This window comes from Homo sapiens, chromosome 10 (assembly GCF_000001405.40).
Source record: "Homo sapiens chromosome 10, GRCh38.p14 Primary Assembly".
Taxonomy (NCBI): Eukaryota; Metazoa; Chordata; class Mammalia; order Primates; family Hominidae; genus Homo; species Homo sapiens.
Window position 1 is genome coordinate 7,183,049 of NC_000010.11, and position 27,644 is coordinate 7,210,692.

The 27,644-nt window shown below is 43.1% G+C and overlaps 1 protein-coding gene and 1 non-coding gene across 13 annotated transcripts in view; both read right to left on the reverse strand.

The window, feature by feature from the left end:
* SFMBT2 (Scm like with four mbt domains 2) overlaps window positions 1-27,644 on the reverse strand; it is a 252,867-nt gene that overhangs the window by 24,425 nt on the left and 200,798 nt on the right. For all 12 annotated transcript variants that reach the window (NM_001029880.3, NM_001387890.1, NM_001387889.1 and 9 more), the window contains 5 exons: window positions 22,767-22,880; window positions 19,432-19,474; window positions 17,366-17,436; window positions 14,500-14,639; window positions 5,576-5,685 (listed from right to left, as the gene is read on the reverse strand). In NM_001029880.3, the coding sequence (NP_001025051.1) occupies window positions 5,576-5,685; window positions 14,500-14,639; window positions 17,366-17,436; window positions 19,432-19,474; window positions 22,767-22,880 (478 nt within the window). The remainder of the gene's footprint in view (window positions 1-5,575; window positions 5,686-14,499; window positions 14,640-17,365; window positions 17,437-19,431; window positions 19,475-22,766; window positions 22,881-27,644) is intronic.
* SNORD129 (small nucleolar RNA, C/D box 129) lies at window positions 3,632-3,736 on the reverse strand. Its single transcript, NR_132972.1, has one exon. It is a non-coding gene; the product is annotated as a small nucleolar RNA, C/D box 129 (small nucleolar RNA).

Below are 27,644 nucleotides of genomic sequence, written 5' to 3' on the forward strand. Positions count from 1 at the left end.
GAAAATATTAAGAGACAGCTGAGCTCGCACACAATAGAAAACTCTCTGGCAATATAAATAATCTCAGAAAGAAGGAAAATAGAAGCAACAAGCAAAAGATTACTGAGTTGGAACTAAGGAATAGCAAAGACAAAAAAGGTGACGGAGGAGAAAGTTGTAAGGGAGAGGTCCAGGAAGGAGAGCTTTCATCTCAGTCCTCAGATAGACCTTGCCATCCCAGCACCTCTGCATCACTCAGGTTGCAGAGAAATCTGGAGGGAAGAACGCAATCTCATCCTACAAGCTGAGCACATCAGGAGGGGCTGGGGCTGGCAGTGCTCTCGGAAGCACACTTTGAGACAGTAAAGGAAGTCACAGATCAACAGTGGAAAACACAGGAGATGCTCTTGCTGGTTGTCAGCGCAGGACACTGAGAACCCCAGAGTCCACAGAAGATTATTTTAAGCTCAAGATAGTTGAGATTCGACAGATACAGCAAGAAGTCTTGTTGGAGCTCCCATTATCTGCTGTAAAATAGAAACTTTAGAGAAATGGAGACTGCCATAAATTCCCTCTTTGGGGGCAGCTTCTCCTCCCAGGAGAGAGACGTAAGAGTAAAGCTGCCATAAATCTCCTCTCTGGGGACGTTTCCCAGCCTGGCCATGAAGAAGAGAGAAAGACCACTCAGACCTGCATAAACAAACATTAGCACAAACTTTCTTACTTCTCACTTGCTTTCCTCAAATCCAATTTGTCTTTCCCAAAGCAATCTATTTGTTCTTCTGACGAAAGCCTTTGCTCCCAGCTCCCTTTCCCGTACTGAGTTGGATACAGAATCCCCAAACGACTGACCCACCCTCTGAGTTATTCATCACTGAGCACTCCCTCGGTATGAGGGTTACACATGTAAGTGGGCTGTTTCTTCTCTCACTCACCTGTCTTTGGTCAGTTTAACCTTCAGGCTCCCAGTCTCTGAACCTAAAGGAGTGGAGGCAAAGTTTTTCCTCACTGATATCAATATATGTGTGGCCTTCCACTTCCTTCCCATTAGCCAAAGTAGGGATTTCTTTCCACGTCCAAGTGCATAGAGCAGGGTGGAGACAGAGAGAGGAATATGGGATGATAAAATGCCAAAAAAATCATCTCCTCTCCTTCAATAGCTGGTATGTTTTGGCTGTGTCCCCACCCAAATCTCATCTTGAATTGTAGCTCCCATAATTCTCAAGTGTTGTGGGAGGGACCCAGTGGGAGGTAACTGAATCATGGGGCAGTTTCCCCCATACTTTTCCTGTGGTAGTGAATAAGTCTCACAAGATCTGATGGTTTCATAAGGGGAAACCCCTTTTGCTTGATTCTCATTCTCTTCTCTTGTCTGCCACCATGTGAGATGTGCCTTTCACCTTCCGCTGTGATTATGAGGCCTCCCCAGCCACGTGGAACTGTGAGTCCATTTAACCTTTTTTTCCTTATAAATTACCCAGTTGCAGGTATGTCTTTATCAGCGGCATGAAAATGGACTAATACGGTAGTTAAAAGTTGAGAAGAATCTAAATGGATTTTGAGTCAAAAACAAAAACAGAGTGAAAAAGCCAACACTGGTGTAACAATCCGTTTATAACCACCGGCACGGCCCAAGCAGAATGTCACTATGGTCTAAGTTCCATCATTCACCCTCAGAATCACCCTTATGAGACCTTTTAACAAATCTCGTCAGGCAGGGATAGGGGTGTGGGAGCGGAGGACGAGGTTCTGGTTCTTCAAGCTGAACTCACACCCTCAAATGCTGGAGGAAGAATTAAAAGAGGAAGGAAATGGTGACTCTGAGAACCCTGCAGAAATAGGGAAGCTTTACAAGCTGTGGGAAAGCCTCTGTTCTCATCAGCAATAGTGAGGTACGGTTCTCGCTTCCTTCAGAACAAAGCTTTCACTTCATTGGTCTCATTCTTGGTCACTGGACTTCAGGGTCGGGAGAATGGGTCACTGGTTTTCAGCCTTAGGACACCCAAACTCCTCAGAAATTTCTTTCTTCCTTCTTGCCTTTAAGTAATGGGAACTCTGCAACACATGGGCATGTATGTTTATCCCAAGGAGACTACTGCTCCTCCAGAATGTCTTAAGCTGGCCTGTTTGAATCAGACACGCCACACCGTGATCCAGTGAATTTAGGTACACACATACACAGAAATGCAGTCTTCCCTTCAAATAGACTGGTTCATGGCTTTGCTTAACGCGAAGTTCACCTCGTGCGTTTTCAGGACAGCAAACTACATACACTTGCGCAAGGTAAACAAAATTAACAAATGAACAAACAAAACCTTTTCCGGTGAAGTCTCTCAGTTAGGGAATCCTTTTTTTACATAAATCACTTTATAGCCAAATGTTACCTGCGACAGTTCATAAGACAAATGCTTGCGTAAAAGGACAAAAATTAAAGTCAAATAAGTAAAAGCACACACAAAATTAACCACTGCTTATGAAAAAAAAGAAACCACAACATTTCCACAGAGCTGAGCATGACGCACCTAACAGTGAAGATCTGACTTTATCTCCTTCCCTCTGATAAGTGACAGTGAGCTCTAACTCACGTGAAATCCTACCAGGATATTTCCTCTTTAAATATTCTGAATAACTATAACACAGGACTAGAAGAATTATTAAGCTTCTGCCTGGCTTTTATAAAGATGATCACAAAAGCCATTCAAAGAAGAGTTAAGACAGTCTTTTTATTTTCCCTCAAGAAGATTCTGTAACATGCTGAAAAACATATTTAAATGTCTCTAGATGCAGAGAGGTGGAGGGCTTTTTTTTTCCTTACCCCTCTAAGATATAGCCTAATTCCTCCTCCTGTAATTCAAAACAATGCAGGTAAATTGAGCATATTTAAATTCATTGGCAAGAAAGAAATTTTCTCTTCCAGAACAGAAATGAACTACATGAGAAGCCATTTTTTTTCCCTGGCATAAAAGCTAGCAAATTTTTGCTTTTCAATACATGTTGAAGGTAATAATGATAGACTCCTCACAAGTTCAAATATTGCAATAATTTCTTTCTATAAAAGGTACGGTTGTTGGATAAATAGGGGAAAAATCACCCAGAGACAATTGTAGGTAACAGTGTAAGTTTTCGTTATATTTACAAGTCAAAACCTCTACAAAGACACCTTCATCCTCTCAAGTAAATGGGTCTTTACTCTTAGGAGGTGGAAAAAACAACCAGAAATCCTAGATGCCAAATGAGAGCAATCACACTGCCCTAGGGATAATCTCACATCCTCTCTTCCTGAAAACAGTCTTTATAATTGTGTACAACAGCTCCCATAATCAACCAAGAGGACTGAATGTCATATGTATATATGACATATATATACATACATATACACATACATACATACTATATATACACACACACACACACACACACACACACACACACATATATATATATATAAAAATATTTTATTTGTTGTAGAGACAGGGTCTTACTATGTTGTCCAGGCTGGTCTTGAATTCCTGGACTCAAGCGATTTGCTGCTTCAGCTTCCCAAAGTGCAGGGATTACAGTCATGAGCCACCACGCCTGGCCTGGACCAAATGTCTTGAATGTGAGTCTCTCCTCTTGTACGTTAATTTATTCATGACAGAAAACATGCCTTCCTTTCAGCTAAATGGGAAGATGCCAGCTCTCTCTCCTCCCATTTGCACCAAAGAAAATAGCAAAGTTGTCAAGATCTAAAAAGTTGTCATTTCACATCAGAAGGGAAGAGGTGACTCAACACACAGTATCAGAGCAGGAGAGCTCCCGCTGACTGTAAAGCTGTCATCATTAGCAGCTGCTTTGAGACGCTGCTATGATCTCGCACAGTTGAAACCCAGTTCAGACAGACATTTTCTCATTAGAAGTTGCTGTGTAAGAGTTTGCCATGGAACTTTTTGTCATATTTGATATAATAGGTAATATGCTGCCTTTACAATTCAGTAGAGCTGGGTTTCACCATGTCTGTTTTGATTGTATCAGGCTGGATTTAATAAAAAGCTCTGATCGACTTGGTAACATGAAAACTAGTGCAAACACTTGCAAAATGAACTTCCTCTCACTGTGGAGCGGGAGCGAGTTTCTGGCTTATTTAGAGGCAGGGAAGGTTTTAATGGGAGCTAAGATTTTTGTACTTTTATTATATCTGTGTCCATTAGGTGTACGTGGACTGTATTGAATTTTGCAGAAAAGTTTTAAAATAAGAAGGATTTCTCCATTATAAACACTTGCTTATGTTTTCTGCCCCCACTACTACTACAAACTTATAAGAAAATGTGCCACTACTGCTAATGATCTCTTTAAAGCAGAAAAATATGAAATATTAGAAAAACATGTTTTTCTCTGAGCTATAGGTGAAGCTCACTTAAATATTTCTTGAGAAAGAAGGAAATGATGAAATGTAGCAGCATCGTTAATTGGCCTGCCATTTTCTGCAAATAAACCCTCTTCTTATTTACATATATTCTCTTCCACTTTGGTGATTTGGCAGATTATGATTAGACCATAAATAAGTTTTACTGAATCTAAAACCCCAGAGCTGTTCAAAAATGACACCAGGAATGCTAAGTGGATTGCTGGCAATGAATGTTGAGTGTGGCACAATCTCTAAACATCTTCAGTCACAGTACTAGTATAAGTTAACTATAGAGGAAAATATTACCGATCATACAAATTATTTCATATTTCTCAATTTTCACTATGAATAGGGCAGGTGCCTTCTCTAAAGGAGGCTTAGATATCCTCTAGCCACTGAAAACTGTTTTACTCTTTTAAAAAAACATCATTTCTCAAATGTTACATCTCAATGACCATTAAGAAGTCAACTAGTAAAACCTATTCTATTTGAAACCCATAGATGAATATTAAAAGTCCTCTCAAGCACTCTAAACAATTATTCAACATAAAATTATCTTAGAAACGGATCTTTTTCTATGTGCCTAAACAACCAAGTTCAAGTACATTGATACGGCTCCTGCTCTCAATTTCAGAGGTCAAGAAACCTAAAGAAAGCAAAAATGTCACCTTTCCAATTAGCCTATTTCCAAATAAAAGAAAGTTACTTGACTCCACGCCAACCCAGATTTTGCTGCCATTTACTTAACCCAGACCAAACATGCACGGGTTCCTTTTATCTTTGAGAACTGTCAACTGCCAGAAAAGAGAGCATTTGCATTTAGCATAGTCTATATAATATCAAAAATGAAGAGCTGTTTATGAACATAGTATAATAATGATGAGGGATATCCTCTTTACAATTTTCCCCCTTTTGCTCAAATAACCTATTGGTCCTGAAACATACCAAGTTTTTATGATGCTGAATGTTTAGCATAATAAAATATTAGTTAAGGAAATCTCTACTTCACCTTAGGAATCCTAAGGCTTAAGGCAACGCTGTATGGCAAAAATGCCAAGAAATTTACGTGTCGCCCATAGAACTGCAGAACGAACGTCCTTCAGTTTGTTCCATTTCTCAGGGCTGTGTCACAAAGAGAAGTGGCAAGGTTCAAAGTAGCATGGGGAAGTATTACAAAAACCCTTGCTTTCCAGAATTGAAAACACTTACTTGGCCTTCAGCGTCTCTTCCTGGAAATTCCAGTGGGGATCTTCTACCAGCTGTAATTCTCTTAATACCCTTCCAGGCTTGTAGGCTGCGTTGATTATCATGCTAAGAACCTTTTGGGGAAAAAAATAAGCAGACTGAGCTGCAATTGCATTCATTCCTACTAACACAAGGATGCTTTGAAAACCACACCACTGACATTTAGGAACAGCTCGCCACTACACCCACATGAAGTGAAGAAACGTGATTAAGTCTGATAGAACACTTGCCAGGCTAACACTGAGTTGTTTCACCATCCATGGACAAAAAGCGTGGTAAAATACAATCTCTCTGGCTAGAAAAGTGTGAACCACTCTCTAGAGGGGGTGGCAGACTCCCATTAACTCTTCTAGTTGCAGAAAAGCTGAACCATTTTCACCAAAGAGCAATTTATTGTACTTCAACAGGATTACTCTTCAGTTGGATAGGCTACTGAGAATTTCATTCTATTTTTACAGATTTCATAAGGAACTAATGAAACGGAGACAATCTACTCATGCCAACACTTCTGGAGAGGCTTCACATGCTTGCAAGGAGGGTAACAAATTGTGTGAAACTCTCCTCTTGCAGGCTCAATTCATGGACATTTAATACTAGGGCAACCCTCTGAAATGTGAATATTTTAAAAGAGAGTCTGGAATATCCAGCGCCATCCAGTATCATATTTCCCCCATCCACCCCTCACTCCCAAGTCCAAGAAAACAAGCATGTGTCTACCATGGGGCTCAGAAAGAGCAGGCATTTCTAAGAGTTCCAGCTGCTGACCCTGGGGAGATACGATGTTCCTGTTAACCTCAATGAGTTTCTCTAATGAAAGGGACAAGGACCTCAGACCCCTAAGGTGCTCACCTTTCAAAAAGCAAATCATCATTAATGATTAACATTGATGAGTTCTGGCACATTCCTGGGCTGCTGCTGTTTGGATAAAGACCTTACAGAACGTGAGAGTGCAAAGCAGAGGCCTATGGTGTGGAGTTTCATGAAATGATCCTCTGTGAAGCTCCACTGAGTGACAGTAGCAGGAACAAGACGGGGGAGCACGCAGTGCCCATGCCTCCTGCAGGCCGTCCGGGTGCGGAAGTTGGAAGGAGCACGCCAGGCATGGAGCTCACATTTTGGATTTCAGAGCAAAATACCGTTGGGAGAGCAAGAGATACACCTGAGTGAGATGGGAGTCTGGCACTAGTGCCTAAACACGCACTATCTTTTAATGGAGACTATTACAAAATAAATGGAAGGAGATGGGAGAATGTGGATGGAATTTGCTTGTCACAATTTTCACGGGTCTGTTGTGTTCTGGAACGTAACCAGCTTGGTTTGCACCCTGATTTATTTGAAAACAACAAAGCTTTCTCAAGTTGTAACTAAGGATTCACTCTTAAAATACTTTACACTACGCGGTCAGCCCGGCGACGGCCTTTTCTCTGCCTGGGTAACATCTTGCTATGTTCCAAGGGCCTCAAAGCCACCCACCAAGAGAATGTGGCTTGCCAAGGTGCTAAAAAGCCATGACAAGGCGGTACCGGCAGTTTTGTTGCGTTTGTGTTTTCTGTATTAGAATAATCATCTGATTTTATTGTTTACTGTCAGTACAATTTACAGAAACTCAGTTTAAAAATAAATCTAATTAGTACTGACTGCAATAACGCACACAGTGTTTATCAACAGACAATAAAATTTCAACAGATTCTTTTCATTGGGTTTCGCTGAGAAAACCCCAGAGCTGCATGTTATTTGCTGCATATCGAGATGCATTTTGTGACTGCGAAAAGAAAATGCCTTCTGGAGTTCAATTCAGCCTGGGAGCAGGCAGCAATTAAATTATGAAAAGCATCGGATATTGAATGTTTTTCCCTTGGCTTTTCTTGATGCCACATCATCCGTCTCCAAATTCAACAAGCTCTCTATAAAACTTTGGAATTGTGAGCTGAATAATTTCTGTGCACATGACAATGTCATGTATTATAGTTACCTAATGAAAATAACTAAGTGGACAGCTGCTATGACTAGCCACAGTTAGACTGAATTATTGTGCTTTGCAAAACACTGGAGTTCAGTTCATTATGTGCTTGATCAGAGAGGGTAGCAGGGAGCCTGCCCCTGCCCCCAAACTAATAGGACCTTAGGTGTCTCATCTTCCTCCACTGATATGGTTTGGCTGTGACCCCACCCAAATCTCACCTTGAATTGTAGCTCCCATAATTCCCATGTGTTGTGGGAGGAACCTTGTGGGAGGTAATTGAATTGTAGGGGTGGTTTCCCCCATAATGTTCTCGTGGTAGTGAATAAGTCTCATGAGATCTGATGGTTTTATAAGGAGTTCCCCTTTTTGCTTGGCTCCCATTCTCTCGTCTGCTGCCATGTAAGACGTGCCTTTTGCCGTCTGCCATGATTGTGAGGCCTCCCCAGCCATGTGGATCTGTGAGTCCCTTAAACCTCTTTTCCTTTATAAATTGCCCAGTCTCAGGTATGTCTTGATCACCAATGTGAAAACGAACTAACACATTCCCCCACCTCATTTCTCAGCTCTTTTACAGTAAAATCCTTAAGAAGAGTCTACACTCAACAGCGCCTTTTCCTCTTCTTCAGTCCTCTCTGGAACCCAATCCAATGGGGCTTTTCTGTGTCCACAATGTCCCTGAAACTGTCTTATCCAGATGCCTGGTGAGAGCACATGGCCGAAACGCTGGGCAGCTCTGGGTCTATTCTCACCCTGCCGGCAGGGGCTTCCCTGTCTTCCACCTCACGCTCTGAGAGCCTCACCTCCCAACAACCGCCAGGGCGATCCTTTCAACAGGTCAGATCAGGCCTTTCCTCTGCTCTGTTCTTCTCTTAGGATTGTTCTTCCTGGGGAAACCCTTCCAGACCATCCCTCCCCATCCGGGTCTTTACTCCAAAGTCCGTATCAGAAAGGTCTCTGCGAGTATCCTCTGTACACAGCACATTCCTCCCTTCATTCTCTGGCCTCTCATGGATAACTTGTCTTATTATTAGTATAGGATTATTCCGTAATTGGCTTATTTGTTCACCATCCACCCCCACTAAGACATAAGCAGCAGGAAATCAGGGACTTCATTCTGTTTGCTGCTGTATCCATGGCAGATACAACCATAACTGGCAAGAGTAGGTGCTCTATAGATATTTTTTGAATTAGTTCAATAATTTCAATATGGGCTCTGAAATTAAATTATTCTGTTCATCTAAAAATTAACAATAAATTCACTCCAAGTATTTGATGCCATATAATCTACATGAATGGAGGCTCAGGAGTTATCATTTGCTATTGCTTTTCATTGCTACAAAATCTTATCCTATGCTATGATAAGAAAGTTCATCAAATTTATCTTGTCTTCTCTATGAGAAAATAATAAAGAAAAGCCTGACATGCAAAAAAAAAAATGTGCACTTTTCCTTTGCCAACCTTCCCTCAGCACCCCAGACCATGTGAGTGTGTTCAAGTTCACACCCACCCGTAAGCCTGGCACATTATTCTTAGTGGGTTAACTAATGTTCAGCATAAATTGAAAACAGCAGCAACAAAAACACAGCACAGTATCTTCAAGAGGCCTGTCTGCATCTGTCTTTGATTCCGAGGACTGACTTCGCTGAGGTCAGCTGGGTAAGACATTCCCTCTGTCCAATATCACATGGAAAAGTCCTCAATACGAGATCGTCATTCCTACTCCCTCAACACCTCCTCCCCTGGGTGTTACCGATAAACTTACGACTGCTTCGAAGAATGAAAGCTCTTCTCCTACCACCAAGTCTATGAACACTGAAGGCTGCTTGGGGCAGCCGACTTTCAGGATTCCGACCAGAAAGCTTTCTAGTTTTTAGGTACATGTTGTTGTGAGTGATAGCCCAGGACAAATGCTCAGAGCTCCACAATGAAGGGGAAATTCAAACAGCACATGACAGACTCCCCAGATGTGAGAACCAGACACCCCAAACAAAAACACGGAGGGAAATCGCTTAATGCATCAGCCACAGGGGCAGAAATCGAAACCGTAAATAACAGCTGAGGCCAAATCCCAAACCGCCAGGTCCCACTGGAAAGATCCCAAACTGCAGGTGACCAGGAGCCAGAGTCACCTGAGCCCTTTGGGGGTCGGAGGTCACATCACTATTTGCAGTGGGGCGTCTCTGACTCAGGGCCGGGGGTCCGGGGCACACCGCATTCTGGTTCAGGGGTGCCGCACTACTTCTTTGATTCTGCTGGTCTACGCCTTCACACCCAGTCTTTGGACCTCAGCTGAGTGCCCTGGTCTCACCAGCATCTCAGCAAACGGGGTGGAGAGTTACACTGGAGCAAAAAAACAAGCCCTGAGAAGCGCCTCATTGCAAAGCATCCTGGGTGCCAGGCTTCCTGGGGCTTTCTCTGAACTCTTAAGCACCAAAAGAAGAAAAAAGAGAGCAGAAAATCAGGCGTTCTATTTCTACCTTTCTATAGAAGGTTACAGCTCATCGATTTCCTTTCTATAAACGTTCCTCTCTTAAGCTCCTGAACCTGGACTGCCAAAAAGCAGCACACAGGACAGGCCAGGTCTGCTGCCGAGCAAACACAAGTGGAGAGCCCCTGCCTGCTCAGCACCCCTGAAGCTCATGCGGAAAACCCACAAAGGGGTGCCCACAGATGGCCCACATGAAAGGCATGTTTCTCTTTTTTTCTGAAAAACAGAAGTTAGATACTGTCACTGACATTTACATACTGATATTTTAAGCCAAATAAATTCTAAGAAAAACCACAAGGCTCCCCAAGTCTCTGAGAGCCACCCTGGGATTTTCTCCAAGGACAATGTCCCCCCACCATGATGTGTGGAGTCCCTGTGAAGGCAGAGGCTCCATCGCCCTACCCAGGTGCGTGTTTTCAGAGTCGTTTCTGCCAGGAGCGCTTGGCTGGTCTGCTCTCACCTTCATCATGGGTCTGTGTCTGCAGCTGAAACAGTCACTCCAGGACCCACGGACAGGAGTAAATAGATTAGATGTTCCGCTCCCCGTTGGCCTCTTGTGCCCAGGCTGGCTCACTGGTTTGCTTTCTCTTTCACACACAGACACTAGCCTGATACACTGTCTATAAAGTGAGGACTACAGGCCTGGTGATTCATGAGATGGTATGTAAGTTACAAGGCAAAAATTTCCTGAACACCTCGTGCAATGCAAAGGAACGCAACAGCCGACAAGACCCTTTTGGTCATAGGAGGCGAGCAATCTCCTGATATGACATAGATCATGGTTTATCTCTCTTTTGGGGACCCTGGTACTCCGGGAGAGGTTGGGGTAGAAGGATTTGGGATAGAAAAAGATGCTCCCAATGGACAATGACCCTACTGAGCATGGACACGTGACTTAGGATAAACAGCATCACCACTGCCTGTGCCTAACAACTCCACCCTCCATGCAACTGGGCATGGGCATCCTGTAAAAGGCCCAGCATGTGAGGGGCGGTCACCAGCTGGGCCTGTGCCTCCACGCCAAGGCCTGCTTCGTTCTGAGTTTGCTTATGGGGTACGTCTGGACCTCAGTGGACCATTGAGTGACTCTGGTTCCAGCTTCTCCCAGGTCCCCTACCTCCCCTCGCTGCACCCCCTCGAATTGAGGCCAGACACGCTCGTGGTCCTGCCAAACCCCACTCAACTCTAACACCCATCAAGTGAGTAGAGCCATGCATTAAAGACCACTTTTGCCAGAAACTTCGTCCTCTCTTATAAAGCGGCCCACTCAGACAGAACCCAGAACTGGACTCTGCAGCCTGCACTGAGCCTTGCCAAAGACCATGTCTGCATCCACACCCCGAGACGTCTATTTCTGGCAGAACAGATCAGGGTGAACCGCTCTCACTGCACATCTCCTACACATAAAGTGTTCAAGTTCCTAATAACACCGATGGCCAGGAAAAGCAATGCACTCTGTCTTTACTTCCATTACCTCGTTCTCTTTAACTAAAATGAAATTTGAAGCTACAGAGGCTCTGGTACTGAAAGAGGAGCATTAGCGTAAATATTAGCTTGGTGGCACTTACATTTTTCTTGCACTCACAGAACTGAAGCACTCACCTACTTTTTTGTTTTGTTTTGTTTTTCTTTCTTCCTGCCACATGCATTTTTCAAACATCAGCAAAAAACTAGTTTTGTCATTAGAAAACTGCTCTGGACTCGGCTTTAAATTTGGCCGCTGGCACTTATCGGAGAATTGATCAGGGATAACCACTTCTGACTTAAACAAATCATTTAGTAAAGTAAAACAGCCAGCCCCTCAAGACAGGCTGAAGCCAAGGTCATCTTGTGTGTTAACAGAGCTGGCAGATAAGGGAAGGTGTCATTTCAACAACGGAACACGTCACGTGAAACAGGCTTGCAGGCAGCTTCGAAGAAGCCCATCAGCTCTCCGTATTTTTGTCAGTTGTTGTGTCCTCATCCTATCACTCACAACAAAAACAGGCAGAAATACAGGCAGACAACATTGCCCTAGTGGAAATCCATTCACAGACTGACAGCTGTGGCAGACGGAAGAAAGTCAATTCTCACTCTAGGGTCCTATTTCCGATGGTGGCAGAAATTCTTATGTGTAATCCTGGCTTGATTTCTGTTTGGATTGAGTTTAGTATCTGCAGGGATCTCCAATCTGTGCCAATTTATTCACTTAGCATTAACTAGCGGTCCTGCTGCTTAACCACACTGCGGAGCCCTTCCCAGGGTGTGGCCCTCCCAACTCAATCACCCTTTCTCTTTAGCTGTGAATTTCTCATATATGGAATCTACTTGCCACTTAGGCTTAGTGAGATGCGTACTGTTCGATTTCAAGACCAAATGCAGAAATGAGCTATTTACAAGGAAGGCAGCTCCATTCTGCTGCTAAATGAAGATGTGTATGAAGGCCCTGGTACAATGGCCAGGCCTGCAACAGACTCTAAACACGAACAAGGGCCCTTTCTGGGTCCATCCCTTGCAGTCTGCACATTTCAGGTGCTGTGAGGATCCTCTCCTCTTCCCTCCTTCATCACCCGCACCCCAGATGCCCCAGCCTTGTTCCTGCTCCTCTCCCTACCAGGGGCAGGCCACCTGTTCCGCAGTCCCCACAGATTGCAGATGCCTCCGGTGTGATCTCACAGTGTGCATGCCAGGTCCTGTCCTGGAACCTGGGACCACGTGGCTACCTTCTATTTACATACTCATCTTTCCCATCGACTGGACGCTCATGTGGGCCAGGGACCACCTGCTTAACATTCTACATGCTCCCAAATAAATGACCACAACAATAGCCTTATCGATTTCTGACAGGTTTCTTCTAAACTGTAACCTCTACTTCCTCTCTCAAGCAGATGTTTTTTTAAATAAAAAGGTCTTTAACTACGAATACCACTGATGACCAGGAAGAGAAAATGCCCTCTGACTTCCCTTCAATGGCCTCTTTCTCCTCAAGTGAAATGATATTTGAAATCACACCGAGGCTCTCGTGTGGAGGGAAAGCTTGAGTCTCGCATCCCTCTGAGGGTGCCCTATCCATAGATTCAAGTCCAAATCACTTAAAATATCAGAGAAGGCCTTTCACAAGCAGGCCCCATCCAATTTGCTCCATCCAACCTCACACTGAAGCATCAAGGCAGGCCAGCTTCCTGTTTTTCTTCTCAAAATCTAATGCACCCTTTTATGCCACGGTTTATCTCCAGCCTAAGTTCCTAAGCTCCAGCCATACCTGACTTTCCTTTCTGAAACACACCTTGAATGCCCACCTGTGTGGCCATGCCCACGCTGTGCAATCAGGATCCTACACACTCTGCCTAAGCCAGATGAAATGTCACTTGCCATATATTTGTCCTGCACTCTACTCCCAGGACACTGTGTTCCTGCCTCTCTCTCGGACGCCCAACTGTACATCAAGCTGAGGATTACATCATCTCCCTAACAAGAGCAGGAAACCCCAACAGGCAGAAGGCAGAGCCTATTTCTTTTTTAATCCAATGCTTCCGATGGTGCCTGGCTCCTCAAAGTTACCTGACAAACATTTGTTCAATGGATCAATGGATTGCTGTGCCTGCAGAATTTTAAGAAACATTCATCATGGTACGGTGGCAATAGAGAATATCCATTTGGTATCCTCTTTCTTCAGAGAAAGTACGGATACGTGTAAGAAAAGAGCAGAGATAGAGTTCCGGGAAGAGTTTGGAAACTATTCCAAATTTCCAATCTGTCTCCAAGCACTGTCTGAGGCTATGCTAGAAAAATGCAATGGAGAAGAAGCCTTCATCAACATCCTCAGGATTCACCTGTCTCTGCAGGTCGTCGCCCGAAGGCAGCAGAAGAAATGGGGAGCCACAGCCTCCAAGTGATGGGCCTGGATGTGACCCATGACACAAACCTCGTCAAAGTACCTGGAGACCATTGAAATACTTACCATTACCTCCCGTGTGCAGGTACCAGGTGCTCGGAAGAGATGGATGAAACAAAAAGATGGCACAGCACCATGACCCGGCCAAGGAGCGCCATTCTCGGTGATTAACACCCTCTGCTGCCTCATGAAGTCCTCTGTGCCATTCCAGGCTGGTTTACCTCTTTGGAAACCTCAACTCCAGTCCTAGGCCCTCACTCCACACACAATCTTCCCTCTGTCTTCCCAAAGCACTTCATTCAAATCTAGTGCAACTTTTCCCCCTAATTCGAGGGAAGGCAGATGTGTGTCCCTCCCTCTAGATGGGGAGCCTTTCATGGGTCAGAGCATCATTTTTCCATTTGTGTATCTCTGGCTTCAGCCCACAGGATGGAGAGAACGGAGGTCTCGGTAAATGCCAGCTGAACTGCTTCCAATGCCTATTCCCTCCTTCAGAAACTGAGCCCACAGCTTTTTAAAAAATCCTGTTAAAATAAGCCAAGGTGATTGTGCACGGGCTTTACCTCTTTAAGAACCAGCACGCATTTGCCCGGTCCCACCGACTGAGGTAGCTCTGCAATCCTTCCTTTGTTCAGGTAAGGGCCTGAGAAACACCTGTGGTTGATGAAGAGCTGAGGACAGCAGTATTTCCCGTTGACGGTTCCTGCAGGGGACAGCAACATAGTCCATGCTTAGGACCACAGCCCCAGACCCTAGGGGACCCCTAGACCCTTGCTTCATCCACATGGTCAGGGAAAAGGACCACACAGAGCTGTCCGAGGTCTTGGCTGATGGGGAGTCAGGCGTAATAAAAGCAATGGAACCCAAAATGAACACAATAACCGTGACAGCCAGTGTCGTTAGAACTGTAATTAGGAGGCCACACTCTAGTTCCAAATCGTGACAAAGCAGCAGAGAAAAACAGATGATTTTCTTCTTTTGAGAAAGAGGCGCTGTGTCCTAATAGCAGGACATTTTATATCCTTAATGATACCTTGGAAATTCTGATGCATTTTTCCAGATTGTATGAATCTGGTGTTCATCATGCCACACAAGTGTGTCAACTTCACCACACACAGAAGCATGCATGTGCCTACAAACAATATATGATATATTAAACATATTCCATAAATTATTTCCTGCAAGATATTGTTTGTTTGCTTAACAAGAAGTTTCTGAGATATATCCAAGTTGGTAAATGCGGATCTAGAAAGTTCATTCATTTTTTTACTTCTTTGACTCTATTGAATTAATGTAGCATCATTTAGCTGTCTAGTCTCTTACTGCTGGATATTTAGTTGTTTCTACTTTTTCAGGACTGTCAACAGTGCTTTCATGAATATGATTGTGAAAATCTTCTACACGTGGGCAACAGAGTCTTGCAGGTGAGTAAGAAGAGTGGGCCAGGTAGGCCACAGGTCTGCGCATCTGTATCTTCAGTTTTACTAGACATGGCCACGCCATTCTCCACAGTGACTACCCCAATTGACACTCTTGTTAGCACCATGGAAGGGCTCCTGTAGTCCTACATCTACCCCAACAATGGTTCCTGTTGCACTTCTCCACTCTGCCAGTCTGAAGACGGTGAAGTAGACCTCACTGCAGCTTAAGTGTGCATTACCTGTATTCTTCTTTCAACTCAGAAAGGGAATAGTGAGAGCTGCTGATCTTGCTGTCTCCAATGCCATGGGCAAGCAGAATAATTAAATGATAAGACCTCAATCTAAAGTTTCTTTCTTACAGGTGGTGGCTCATGCCTATAATCCTAGCACTTTGGGAGGCCGAGGTGGGTGGATCACCTGAGGTCAGGAGTTCCAGATCAGCCTGGCCAACATGGTGAGACCTCATCTCTACTAAAAATACAAAAATTAGCCGGGCATGGTAGCATGCGCCTGTAATCAATCCATCCTGGGTGAAAAGAGCAAAACTCTGTCTCAAAAAAAGAAGAAAGTTTTTTGTTTTGTTTTGTTTTTGAGACAGGGTCTCACTTTGTTGCCCAGGCTGGAATGCAGTGGTGCAATCTCAGCTCACTGCAACCTCCACCACCTGGGTTCAAGCAATTCTCCTGCCTGAGCCTCCTAAGTAGGTGGGATCACAGGCATGCACCACCATGCCCGGCTAATTTTTGTATTTTTAGTAGAGACAAGGTCTCACCATGTTGGCCAGGCTGGCCTCGAACTCCTGAGCTCAAGCAATCTGCCTGCTTCAGCCTTCCAAAGTGCTGGAATTACAGGCATGAGCCACCATGCTGGGCCAAAAGTTTCTTAATGTCTATAAATGTAGAATGAGGTTTCACTTTTGGCTAAGGGAGTCACCGCCCCCACCCTGACTCTACCCAAGCTCCAAGCTAAGCAACACTCACAGTGGAATTTCTGCAAAACCACTGCTATTAATCTGGGATGGTAATTTAACAGTCTAGGAAGGCTTGCTCTCATAAAGACTTCAACTAGGAACCAGCAGAGGTAGGAAGCAGAAATGTTATTCTTCTGGATATAAAAGAAAAGGAGTAAAATTACAATTATAGACTATGAAAGGGTAGCTGTCATGGTTCTTTTAAAACCATTCTAAAGTTTGAATTATATAAAACAGGAAAAATAATGAAGTCCACAGCTGCATTTACATGGAAATTTTTTGGTAGGATTACTCTGCCTTTCGATTACCAGGCCTGCAGAAAAACAAAATTTTAGTTAAAGCTACTTATAAAACTGCTCTTTACTACCAAGATAATCTCCTAGTAGGATTCTTCCATGACATGTTGGTTTTAATCCTGGAATTCAGAGCAGGTTTCATTTTGGCTTAGAGAATAGACTTTTTAATCAAGTATGATAATGTACAAACATGTCTATTACCAGACTTGATGGTCAGAGGGTAGCTCACAAATGTATTTCCAAAGATTATTGTAAGATGTAAGACTTTACACATTAAAAAACATATATTATTCACAACCAGCTCTTTAGAGGGTTTTAAGGAACAATTCAAAAGCTCGGGGCGACTTAAATACTAACAGCAAGTGGAAAAATGCAAGTGGAACGGAAATAAAATATCAAAAAAGAAATTGCCTAATGAGATGATATTTTCAACTCTTTCCTTTTCCCCATGATATGCAGCCCTAATTTGGCTCCTAATTTGCAAGTCACACATAAACCCTTTTTCTATAGACTAGAACTATCTAGAGCTACTGGCCAAGAAGCAGAAAAGAAGAGGCACAGAGAATTTAGCTTAGAAATTTTTCTTTTTAAAAAGTAGGTATCCGTTCCTGAGTGGCAATGGAGAAAAACAGAATAGGCTCAACGTTGAGATGTATTCATATCGACCTAGAAACCTATACATGTCTCTGCTCCCGGCTGCACGGTGGGAAGGCACAGAGACCCCCTAAATGGGACTGATTACCTGTGGTGTCCAGGTGAGGGAATAAACAAAGGTCATGAGGTATTTTCTTAACAGGCACTGTGGGCGGCAATCTGTCAACAGAGAAAATAAAACTATCAGGGACCACAAGCTTTAGAAGGAACTACTACATTCCAAAGTCTTACCATAATTTAAAAGGGCTCTTCCAGAAATCTCAGATAAGAGGACCATAGAATAGAATGTGTGTATGGGAGCAATGCCAGTAAGACCAGATGAAAACAGCATTTCAGAAAAGTTGTTGTCCAATTCTTTGGATGGCCCAAGAAAGCCTGAGACACCTGCCCCTGAGCAGCTGGTCCTGATCAGTGAGTTTCTCCCAGGTCGCTTCTGGCCTTATCTCTTGCTATGGAATTGTAATACTGCCTTCAATTATATTTTAAACATGAAGAAACATTATCTTACATTTGATTAAAGTCAGACTTTTCCACTTCGATGTCTAATTGAAAACCACTTTCCACTAACCTTTGATTTCTGACCTCCGGGCCCGCGGGAGTCATGGCCACACTAAAAATAAGGCCTTAAAAGAAAATCTATAAACTGGCATATCTTAAAATGTAACATAGGCTTATTCCAGGACAGAGCTCTGTTATAGTTCAGTAAAAATGTTGCTGAATAAATATGTGTTTTACAATGTAGCCTTAGGGGAAAAGAGGTGAACTAGGTTTCACAGGGGTGTCTAGGTTGGTGGCATAGAAACCACATGGTTGAAAAGCTCCTTAAGCTCAAAGTCAACCCTTACAAGAGATCTTAGCAAGGCCATCTATGGAGTGGTTCTCCAAGAGGGGTCCCCAGGCCCACAGCATTGACGCTACCTGTGAACTTGTTAGAAATGCAGATTCTTGGGCCCCATCTCGGACATTCTGAATCAGAAATTTTGAGGATGGGGCCCAGCAATCTGTGTGCTCCAAGCTCTCTAAGTGACTGATGCATGAGAAAGGTGAGAACCGTTAATCCACGGGCTGTGCATTTAAGGAGTGATGGATTCAAGTTTGGATTCGGTCACAGGCGTGTTATGAAATCTCTCTACTTCCCCATCAGGCGGATAACGTGGAGTCTGGTTATGAGCCAGATAAACTGCATTTAGAACCAAACCCACAAAAAAATACCTACAGAGCTGCTCTTCTCATTCAAATCGTGCAGTTCCAGTTCAATTTCATCTTATTTAAATTTAAACTCGACTACCGCAAGTGAAAAATGCTGTTTTCACCTGTCTTTCCATCAGTGTATTTTTATTTACTTAAGAAAGCAGAATCCCTTGGCCTGGAATGTACATTTTGGCGTATTTTAAATTATTTTTCAATATCTACAAATGTTACTAGCAGTCACAACTATTCAAAAACACACTGCCTGCCTGGACACGCTTTGCTAACACCCTCTTTCCACATAAAGTCACAATTGAAATGGGGGACACCCTGTTTCCACAGAAAATCACGACTGAAATGGGGGACAGGGCATAATCTGTATTTGTTCAGCCTACAACTTAAGGCCTACACTTCTTTTCAAATGGAATCTAATTTAATCTTTGTAAGTACCCCCAAATTGTATTTTACAAGCCAGGGCACTGAGGGGCAGAGAATTAATGCCACTTGCTCAGGTTCACTCAGCAGAGCTGGGGTTGGACTGAAGTTTTCTGCCTCCCAAGCCTGGGCTACTCTAGGAGAGGTGAGTAAGCAGCAGCATTCTGAGTGTGGTGAGGGGCTGCGACTCGAAACTGCACCTGCCACGTGGGGCCCCTGCAGACGCTGAGAACTATAGACACAGACAGCGATTTCTCTCAGTGTGTAGGTCTGGGACACTCCCCAGGTATGTCGAAATGGAATAAAAAGTGAGCCATGGGAATCTGGATTGCGAGTGCCTTGGGGAGCAGGCACTGTGTCTTGCACATAACAGGTACATAACAAATAACAGTCACTATGTTTTACTGCTACCTCTACTAGGGTGCTATTTGTTAGATAACTCCAATAAAAACAGCCATGCTTCCCATCCTCCATAAAGACACTACAGTTTATCGGTATACAGTGTAGTCTGGAGGGGAAAAAAGCACGTACTGTTTCTCTGGTTGCACGACTGCAATCTTTCTCTTCTTTTGTGCTGTAGAAAAGGCAAAACGGAAAAAGAAAATCAGCTTTGTTAGTGGGGCAAGTCCATTTTTAAAAATAGGTTATAAAGCAAAGAGGTACCCATTTTAAAGTAGCAATTTAAATGCTGAAAAGTTACGTCATTCATGCCACAATTTCCTATCAGTTTCTTCTAGCATAGGATAGACGTTAACTCACCAGATGTCAGATCTTAGTACAACTTCGTTCATTTAATCTTATCATTACACTAGCTACTTTATTTTTAAATGTGCATTTAAGAAAGCAAAAGAGTACACCTGTTGTACCTCACATTAGCACACATGTTCAGATCAATTGTTGCAAGCAGTTATCCGGAATGATTTTTTTCCAATAAAAATTGTGATGAAGCAAATCATGTTACTATCACAGCACACTCCCAAGGTGCTGTCAGAGGCATGCATTTCAACTAAAACATGTTATTCACAAAAGGAGAACCAGTAGCTCGCAAATACGCCTGGTCAAATATTGACATAAATGAGCAAATAGTGATTTCTTTGGATAAGAACATTTCCAGTTTATATTTGTAACTGATTCAGATCACCTTAACAAAAATAGACCAAAGCTTTTGGCATCTACTAACTTTGGCTCAGATAATCCTACATCTTCCAACATAAGCATAAATTAATTCCAACAAAACTTCTAAAGCTGCTAGAGTCTGGCAGGTTTGGAGTTGGAGTTTGCCTCTTTAAAGCAAAATGTATGTGCAAGAAATGCAAGCAAAAATAAATAAGAAAAATACTCAATAAGATCCCGCTACTCTTGACTATCTGATATTCAATTCCAGTTACTACTACAAAAAGGTCCAGACTTAGGATCTCTCAGGTGAAAAATGAGTTTGGAATACTTGTCTCCCCTGGTCTTTGTTAGCGGGGTGGGGATGCCTGACCCCCTGGGAAAGAGCCAAGCACAACAGACAGATCCAAAATCCTAAAGGAGGAGGAAACTTCACAGTGTTCACCTTAACCTGTATATGATTGTGCTCCAGAAAAACCCAAAGCACTTGCACCCTCCCAAATCCATGTGAAGAGGGGAGGAAGAGGATCTAGGACACCAGGTTCTGTTTGAGGGACAACAAGGACAGAGGGGATTGGAACCCCAACCCCAGGACAACACTCAGGTTGGGGAGAATCTATTGGCCATGCTGGCTGAGCAAGGTCAGAATCTGCAGCTTTTTTTTTGTGAGACAGAGCGGAGTATCGCTCTGTCACCCAGGCTGGAGTGCAGTGGCATGATCTCAGTTCACTGCAACCTCTGCCTCCCGGATTCAAGCGATTTTCGTGCCTCAGCCCTCCGAGTAGCTGGAATGACAGGCATGCACCACCATGCCTGGTTAATTTTTTGTATTTTTAGTAGAGATGGGGTTGTGCCATGCTGGCCGGGCTGGTCTCGAGCTCATGACCTCAGGTGATCCACCCGCCTCGGCCTCCCAAAGTGCTGAGATTATAGACGTGAGCCACCACGCCTGGCCAGAATCTGCATCATTTTAAGAGACAGGGGAAAAGAATGTCCCTGGGATTAAAATAATTATTGTACACTCAATGTTTTAGAAATATTTTTAAGTAAGGGGAAACGATTACTCCAACTGAATCAGATCCATTGGGCAGGATGGTTTAGGAAAAGGAGAATCCCATAGAATCCAGCTGTCTCTAATCTGAACTACCTGCTTGTTTCACACACATAATGTCCTCTGGTGCTCTTAATAATGCTAACTAGAGGAGCCCTGAAACTCTGTCGCCATCAGGGAATGTGAAGTCAGCTATGCAATGGAACTGTGTTTCCAGCAACGTTGTGAGAGTCTACAGAAGTGGCCACAGAACAGGCTGTTAGGAAGAAGTAAAGTTGGTGCCTAAATTCCATCAAGAAAATGTCAGAGACGGAATCTCTTTAACAGTTAAAACCTGTTATCTCTAAGGACTCATCATTTTAAATAACACTTCTGATATGCATTAGGGTAGAATAATAAACGCAATGATTTATTAGGTTAGAAGATTTTTAAATGGTACCATTTTGTGACAATAACCTACAAAAATATGTTAAAACACACTATTAGCCAGGCGTGGCCAAAGTGTAATTCCAGCACTTTGGGAGGCCAAGGCAGGCGGATCACTTGAGGTCAGAAGTTCGAGACAAGCCTGACCAACATGGTGAAACCCCATCTCTACCAAAAATATAAAATTAGCTGGGCATGGTGGCGCACGCCTGTTATCTCAGCTACTCAGGAGGCTGAGGCAGGAGAATCTCTTGAACCCGGGAGGTGGAGGTTGCAGAGAGCCGAGATAGCGCCATTGCACTCCAGCCTGGGCAACAAGAGCGAAACTCCATCTTTAAAAAAAAAAAAATTTTTTTTTTGCATGTATTTAAATGTGCATGTGCGTGTGTGCACACATGTATGAATGGGCGTTTACTGCTGGGTTAACTGTTAATATTGGTTATTTGGTATTTCTGTAACCAAAGGGACGTGTGGTAATATACTTTATAAAGTACAGTTGAAATATCAGTGATTAGTTAGTGCTAAGAGTAGGCTGTTTATTTTATTTATTTTTTGAGACAGAGTCTCACCCTGTCACCCACGCTGGAGTCTACTGGTGCTTGGTTGCCATCTTGGCTCATTGCAGCGTTGACCTCCCGGGCTCAGGCAATCCTCCCACCTCAGCCTCCAGAGTAGCTGGAGACACGTGTCACTCTGCTTGACTAATTTACTTATATATGTACTTCTTTTTTTACGTATATACAGTATCTCACTATGTTGCCCAGGCTGGTCTCAAAATCCTGGGCTCAAGCATTCTCCTGCCTTGGCCTCCCAAAGTACTGAGATTATAGGAATGAGGCACTGTGCCTAGCCTGGTTAAGTGTTTATAAGAATGTCAGTATATTATTGGAACCAATTAAGATTCTGTTAGGAGAAGCTACATGAGAAAAATCAGTTCTTTTAAAGAAATGGTAACACAATAATATAGTATCTAACATATTTTTTCACATCAAAACAATGAATTGTATAAAAAACTGAGAGTGATGATTTCAGATATTTTTCCTCTGCCTCTCTGTGACTTTCAACTGTCCCTCACTGTTAAAGTTTGTCAACCTGTGACATCATCTCATGCAAACACTTAAAGATTAAGCGAGATCATGAAAACATGGGTTCTTGGTGGAAAATCAAAAATCTTATTTGTTCTTTAGAACTTGGTTATAATTTCTTTATGAAGCTGCCAATTTATTCACAAAGATCACTGGTGTCATCCACCCCCCCTCAACTGGGAACCACTTACAGACTGTTTTGTGTGGTGCAGTCAAAGGATAAGAATTGGCTTCACACCAGCCCACTGGGAAGATGTCCATGGATTCCACATCAACAATGACCTCTGGAACAGGAGTCTGCAGCCCTGCATGGGAAGAAGTTGAAACAAGAGGTACAAACAGATCTTACCAACAAAGAAATAGAAGGACAACAATAATAGAGCATCCCTAACATGGGGAAAAACATTCCTTTATACATTAAAAAACAAAAACAAAAACAAAATAGCCATATGGAAGAGATGACTTTAGAGGAGTCTTTAATCTTATCAGAGACAAAACTCCTTGAAATATAAAAAGGCAGGAATAAAAGGGGTTCAGAGAAAACGAAGGTTTGGAAAAAGAGAGATACTCTGCCCTAAAAGTAAAAGAGGAAGAAGGACCGTAGGAAAAGATTGGCATCGGAGCAGGATTGGCTGAAAGAGAGAACAAGCATCCCCCTTTCCTAAGAACAGCTCTGGGGTTAAGGGAATGTATCGGAGCTTGGGGTGGGACCTCAGGGCCCACATCTAAGCCTTCATGATATGCTCCACCTAACACCAAGTAAAGGCAACCTTCAATGAAAGAAAGTCAAGCATCACAGCTAAACGGAACCAGTCAAACTCAAAAACAAGGTTTATGAGCAGTGTACGTGGACAAGGCCCTTCTCTAGGAAACCTGACAACTTATCAGTTTGGAGTTACTTTGTTTTGAACTCAGTTTGTGGCCTGTAGACTTTGGCTATGTCATAGAAAAGTCACTTATGTAGCAATGTCTAAAAGATCCCACTAAAATGTGGGACCTGATGACTGTCACATCCTATTTCGTAATTACAGTCATGCCTTATGAGGACCTGGCTTCACAGCCATGAAACTCTGAAAAAGACAAGAAGACTGGATTTAACAGCAGCAAAAGTTTCAAGGAGCTCTGGCTATGGAGAGAATAAATTTGGAACTAGTTAAAAGAAGAAAATTCGACACCAAATCAATAGTTAAGAAAAAAACACTTTGAACCAGGAATCAAGAGATCAGAGCTCCATTAATAGACGGTGACCCATGGACTCTGACCCCTTAGTCCAGCCCTGCTTGGTTTCCTCATTGAGAACCAAGATGAAGATAACACAGTGGCCGGGTGTGGTGGCTCATGACTGTAATCCCAGCACTTTGGGAGGCCAAGGCCAGCAAATTGCTTGAGCCTAGGAGTTCAAGATCAGCCTCAGTAACATGGCAAGACCTCATCTCTACAAAAAATACAAAATTAGCCTGGCATGGTAGCATGCACCAGTAGTCCCAGCTACTCAGGAGGCCGAGGCAGGAGGATTGCTTGAGTCTAGGAGTTTGAGATCAGCCTGGCCAACATGAAGACACCTTGTCTCTACAAAAAATACAAAATTAGCCTGGCGTGGTAGCAGGCACCTGTAAGTCCTAGCAACTTGGGAGGCTGAGGTGGGAGGACTGCTCACGTCTGGGAGGTCGAGGTTGCAGTGAGCAGTGATTGCACTATTGTACTCTGGCCTAAGTGACAGAGCAAGACACTGTCAAGAAAGGAAGAAAGGAAGGAAGGAAGAAAGAAAGAAAGAGAGAAAGGAAAGAAAGAAAGAAGGAAAGAAAGAAAGAAAGAAGGAAAGAAGGAAAGAAAGAAAAAGAAAGAAAGAGAAAGGAAGGAAGGAAGGAAGGAAAGGGAGGAAGGAAAGGGGAAAGAGGGAGGGAGGGAGGAAGGAAGGAAGGAAAGAAGGGAAGGAGAGAGAAAAGAAAATAACCTGGTGAGCCCCATTACCATCCAAGTCATCTCATAACATCTGAAGAATTCTGAATCACATCCTCCCTCCCCACCAAAACCATAACTTCACGAAGCTAAATGCCAACAACCAAACACAAAATGGTCCTAAATCTGGTGCGAGCTCCACCGGCTCTGACTTTTCATCGTCAAGTAGACATGGTGAAGATGGAGTATTTTACTTGCTAAACGTGGGGTCCCAATTTAGAGTTAAGCCAATATATTGGTGTATCTCAGGTGCTCTGAACATGGACAGCAGGTGCTTATACACACATACTATCATTGTCATTCATCATTTTGAACTTTTGATTGGTTCTCAAATCAATTATCACCACTGTCAGTCTTAACTTTTTAAATGTTTAATTCCCCTGTAATTTAAAGAATATAGAATTTAAAGGAATGCTAGAAGGTTCACAGGGCTTATTTTTGAACAAGGTTAAATAAATAGACATTGTTTCTGTCTAATATTGTAAGACTTGACCAACATTTAGCCTAATTGCTAAAGGAATCAAACAAGAAAGAATATGTTCAAAACAGACAAAACGTAAAGAGACTCTCCCCAGAGGCATCCAATGTGGAAGTGCCTCTGCCCGTCCTGAAGGGTGTGGGATTGATTCCCCAGAGTCCAATAAAGCAGGTCCCCGGGCAGGTTCCTGGTACACAAGGTCATTTTCTCCTCCGCAGACCCAAAGAGCATTTGTTTCTTAGCTACTCAAACATTTTGCTAACAGGTTAGATTCCTCTACTAAATATATTTATCTTTCCAGATTTACATTTAGCTACAAATAACATTTTCAAGGTCATTAAAAGTAGTACTTCAAAAGGAAGCATAACAGTAACTTTATATTGGGAGGCTGAGGCGGGCGGATCACCTGAGGTCAGGAGTTCAAGACCAGCCTGCCCAATATGGCAAAACCTCATCTCTACTAAAAATACAAAAAATTAGCTGGGCATGGTGGAGGGTGCCTGTAATCCCAGCTACTTGGGAGGCTGAGGCAGGAGACTCACTTGAACTTGGGAGGTGGAGGTTGCAGTGAGCCAAGATCACGCCACTGCGCTCCAGCCTGGGCAACAAGAGCAAAATTCCATCTCAAAAAAAAAAAAAAGAAAAAAAAAAAGTAACTTTATGGCTTATTCCTTCCTCAATTACAACTTTCATCTTCCAATGTTCTGCTAATTCAAACATCACATCGTATTATGGCTTTAATACATACGCTTCAGTACAATGTATACATTAGTATATTGCTAGGGCCGTCTTTACCATACTTTAGAATCCTTTGATCATCTTTCCCATTCAATTAAACAAGTATTTATGAGGTCAGATGCGTCGGCTACCTTTCCCTCAAAAAGGTTACAATTATGCCTTCTCCCACCCCAAATATATCCCATTAAGGCATCTATTAAATAAGAACTGATGGAAAAGTCAGTTATTTATCACCTGGGAAAGTGTTTCTGACCCTAAACAAATCCCATTCTAAATAATGGGTACCAAGTTCTTCATTTCCCTTTACCAAGCTTATGAGTCTACATTTATCTGGCTGGACTCAGACTAATTATTTTCCAAGACAGGAGACCCAATAGCATGCAAAATAATCTATTAAAAGAATGTCCACAATGCTTCTCCTTGATTATTTGAGGATTGCAAAAAGTTCATAGGCAAAGCTGAATGTTCCACTGAAGACCTTTATCATTTTATAGAAAAATCCTGACACATTGCTTCTCGGCCTTTTGGCTAAGATCAAGCGAAAAATCCCCGACAAACAACACAAGACCATGTTCAATCTCTTGACTTTGGCTAAGCTGCATCTGGTCAGTATGGATTCTACTTGTTTATTTTTATCCAGAACCTTCGTCTCAAAAACCATGAGGAAGCTTAATTCCCCATCTATGGGAAAGCACTTAAGTAAATCTGGGTATATCCATATGAAGGAATATTCTGCAGCTATAAAAAAGAATCAGACACCTCTTAATATACTCAGATGTACAGATCTCCAAGATGCACTGCCGAGTATAAAAGGCAGGGTGCAGAACACTGTGCATATATAGTATGCTACCATCTGTTTAAAAGGGGGAAATAACATATATTCATATGTGCATAAAATAAATCTGGAAGGAAATGCAAAATACTAACACAGTGGGTGTCCACAGGGAAAGGAACCAGTTGGCTGGAGGCCGGGGCACAGGAGTGGAGGGAGAATCTGACCCAAGATAAACCTTTATGACTTTTTGGCCTTTGTGAATGAGTTACCTATTTTGCAACCAAGGCCTCCACAATCACCACCATTGTAACAATACAACCATAGACACCCAGAGAAGAAAGTAAGACTCTTATACATAAATACGGTATTGCCACAGAGGTCAGGTTAATGAGGGGCCAATTACCATGAAGGAAAATAAAACTAAACAGCAATCAACATTTCCGTTTCTAAGAGAACAAAGACTTTCCGTACTCACAATCTAAATTCATAACAGATTTCTGAGAATCCCTTTGGAACCTTAAAGAGTTCTGCAGCTTGCTACCCCCTTGTCCCCGGTTCAGCAGGACACAGAGGTCTACCTGGTGCTCTCACTGCAAACACACCACGGCTCCACCCAGCCGATGACACAGGTGACTGTAATCGAGACAGTGACCTATGCTACCCAGAGCCCCAGGATGAAAAAGGGAGATGCTTATGGCTTGGGAGGACACCTGAGTGTCTTCCTAGGAACACAGTTCTATCAAACTCCTAAAATTATGTAATTACTTCACTCAGAGCGAATCACAGGAGAGAGCGCGAGCATGCATGAGCTTGGGGTGAGAGATGCCACTGGGCAGCAGAGGCAGGAGGGACCCAGGGCGAGGGAGGCTACAAGCCCACCATGAGGAGGCAAATGGGTTCCACCTCCTTCAGGAAGAAAATCGGAACAACTGCTTCAGCTCAGTTAAAGGCTGGAATCAGAAGAAGGAAAAGAAGTATTTAAGGGAATGTGTTAACCTTGCCTAATAAATGTCCCCACTGAAAGTTAAAGGGCATGGCAAATGCTGACAGGCTTGAGTGTGAGATGAACAGGCAAAACACCAGCAGAATGCAAAGCCGGTGTGAGTGCCCGCAAGCAAG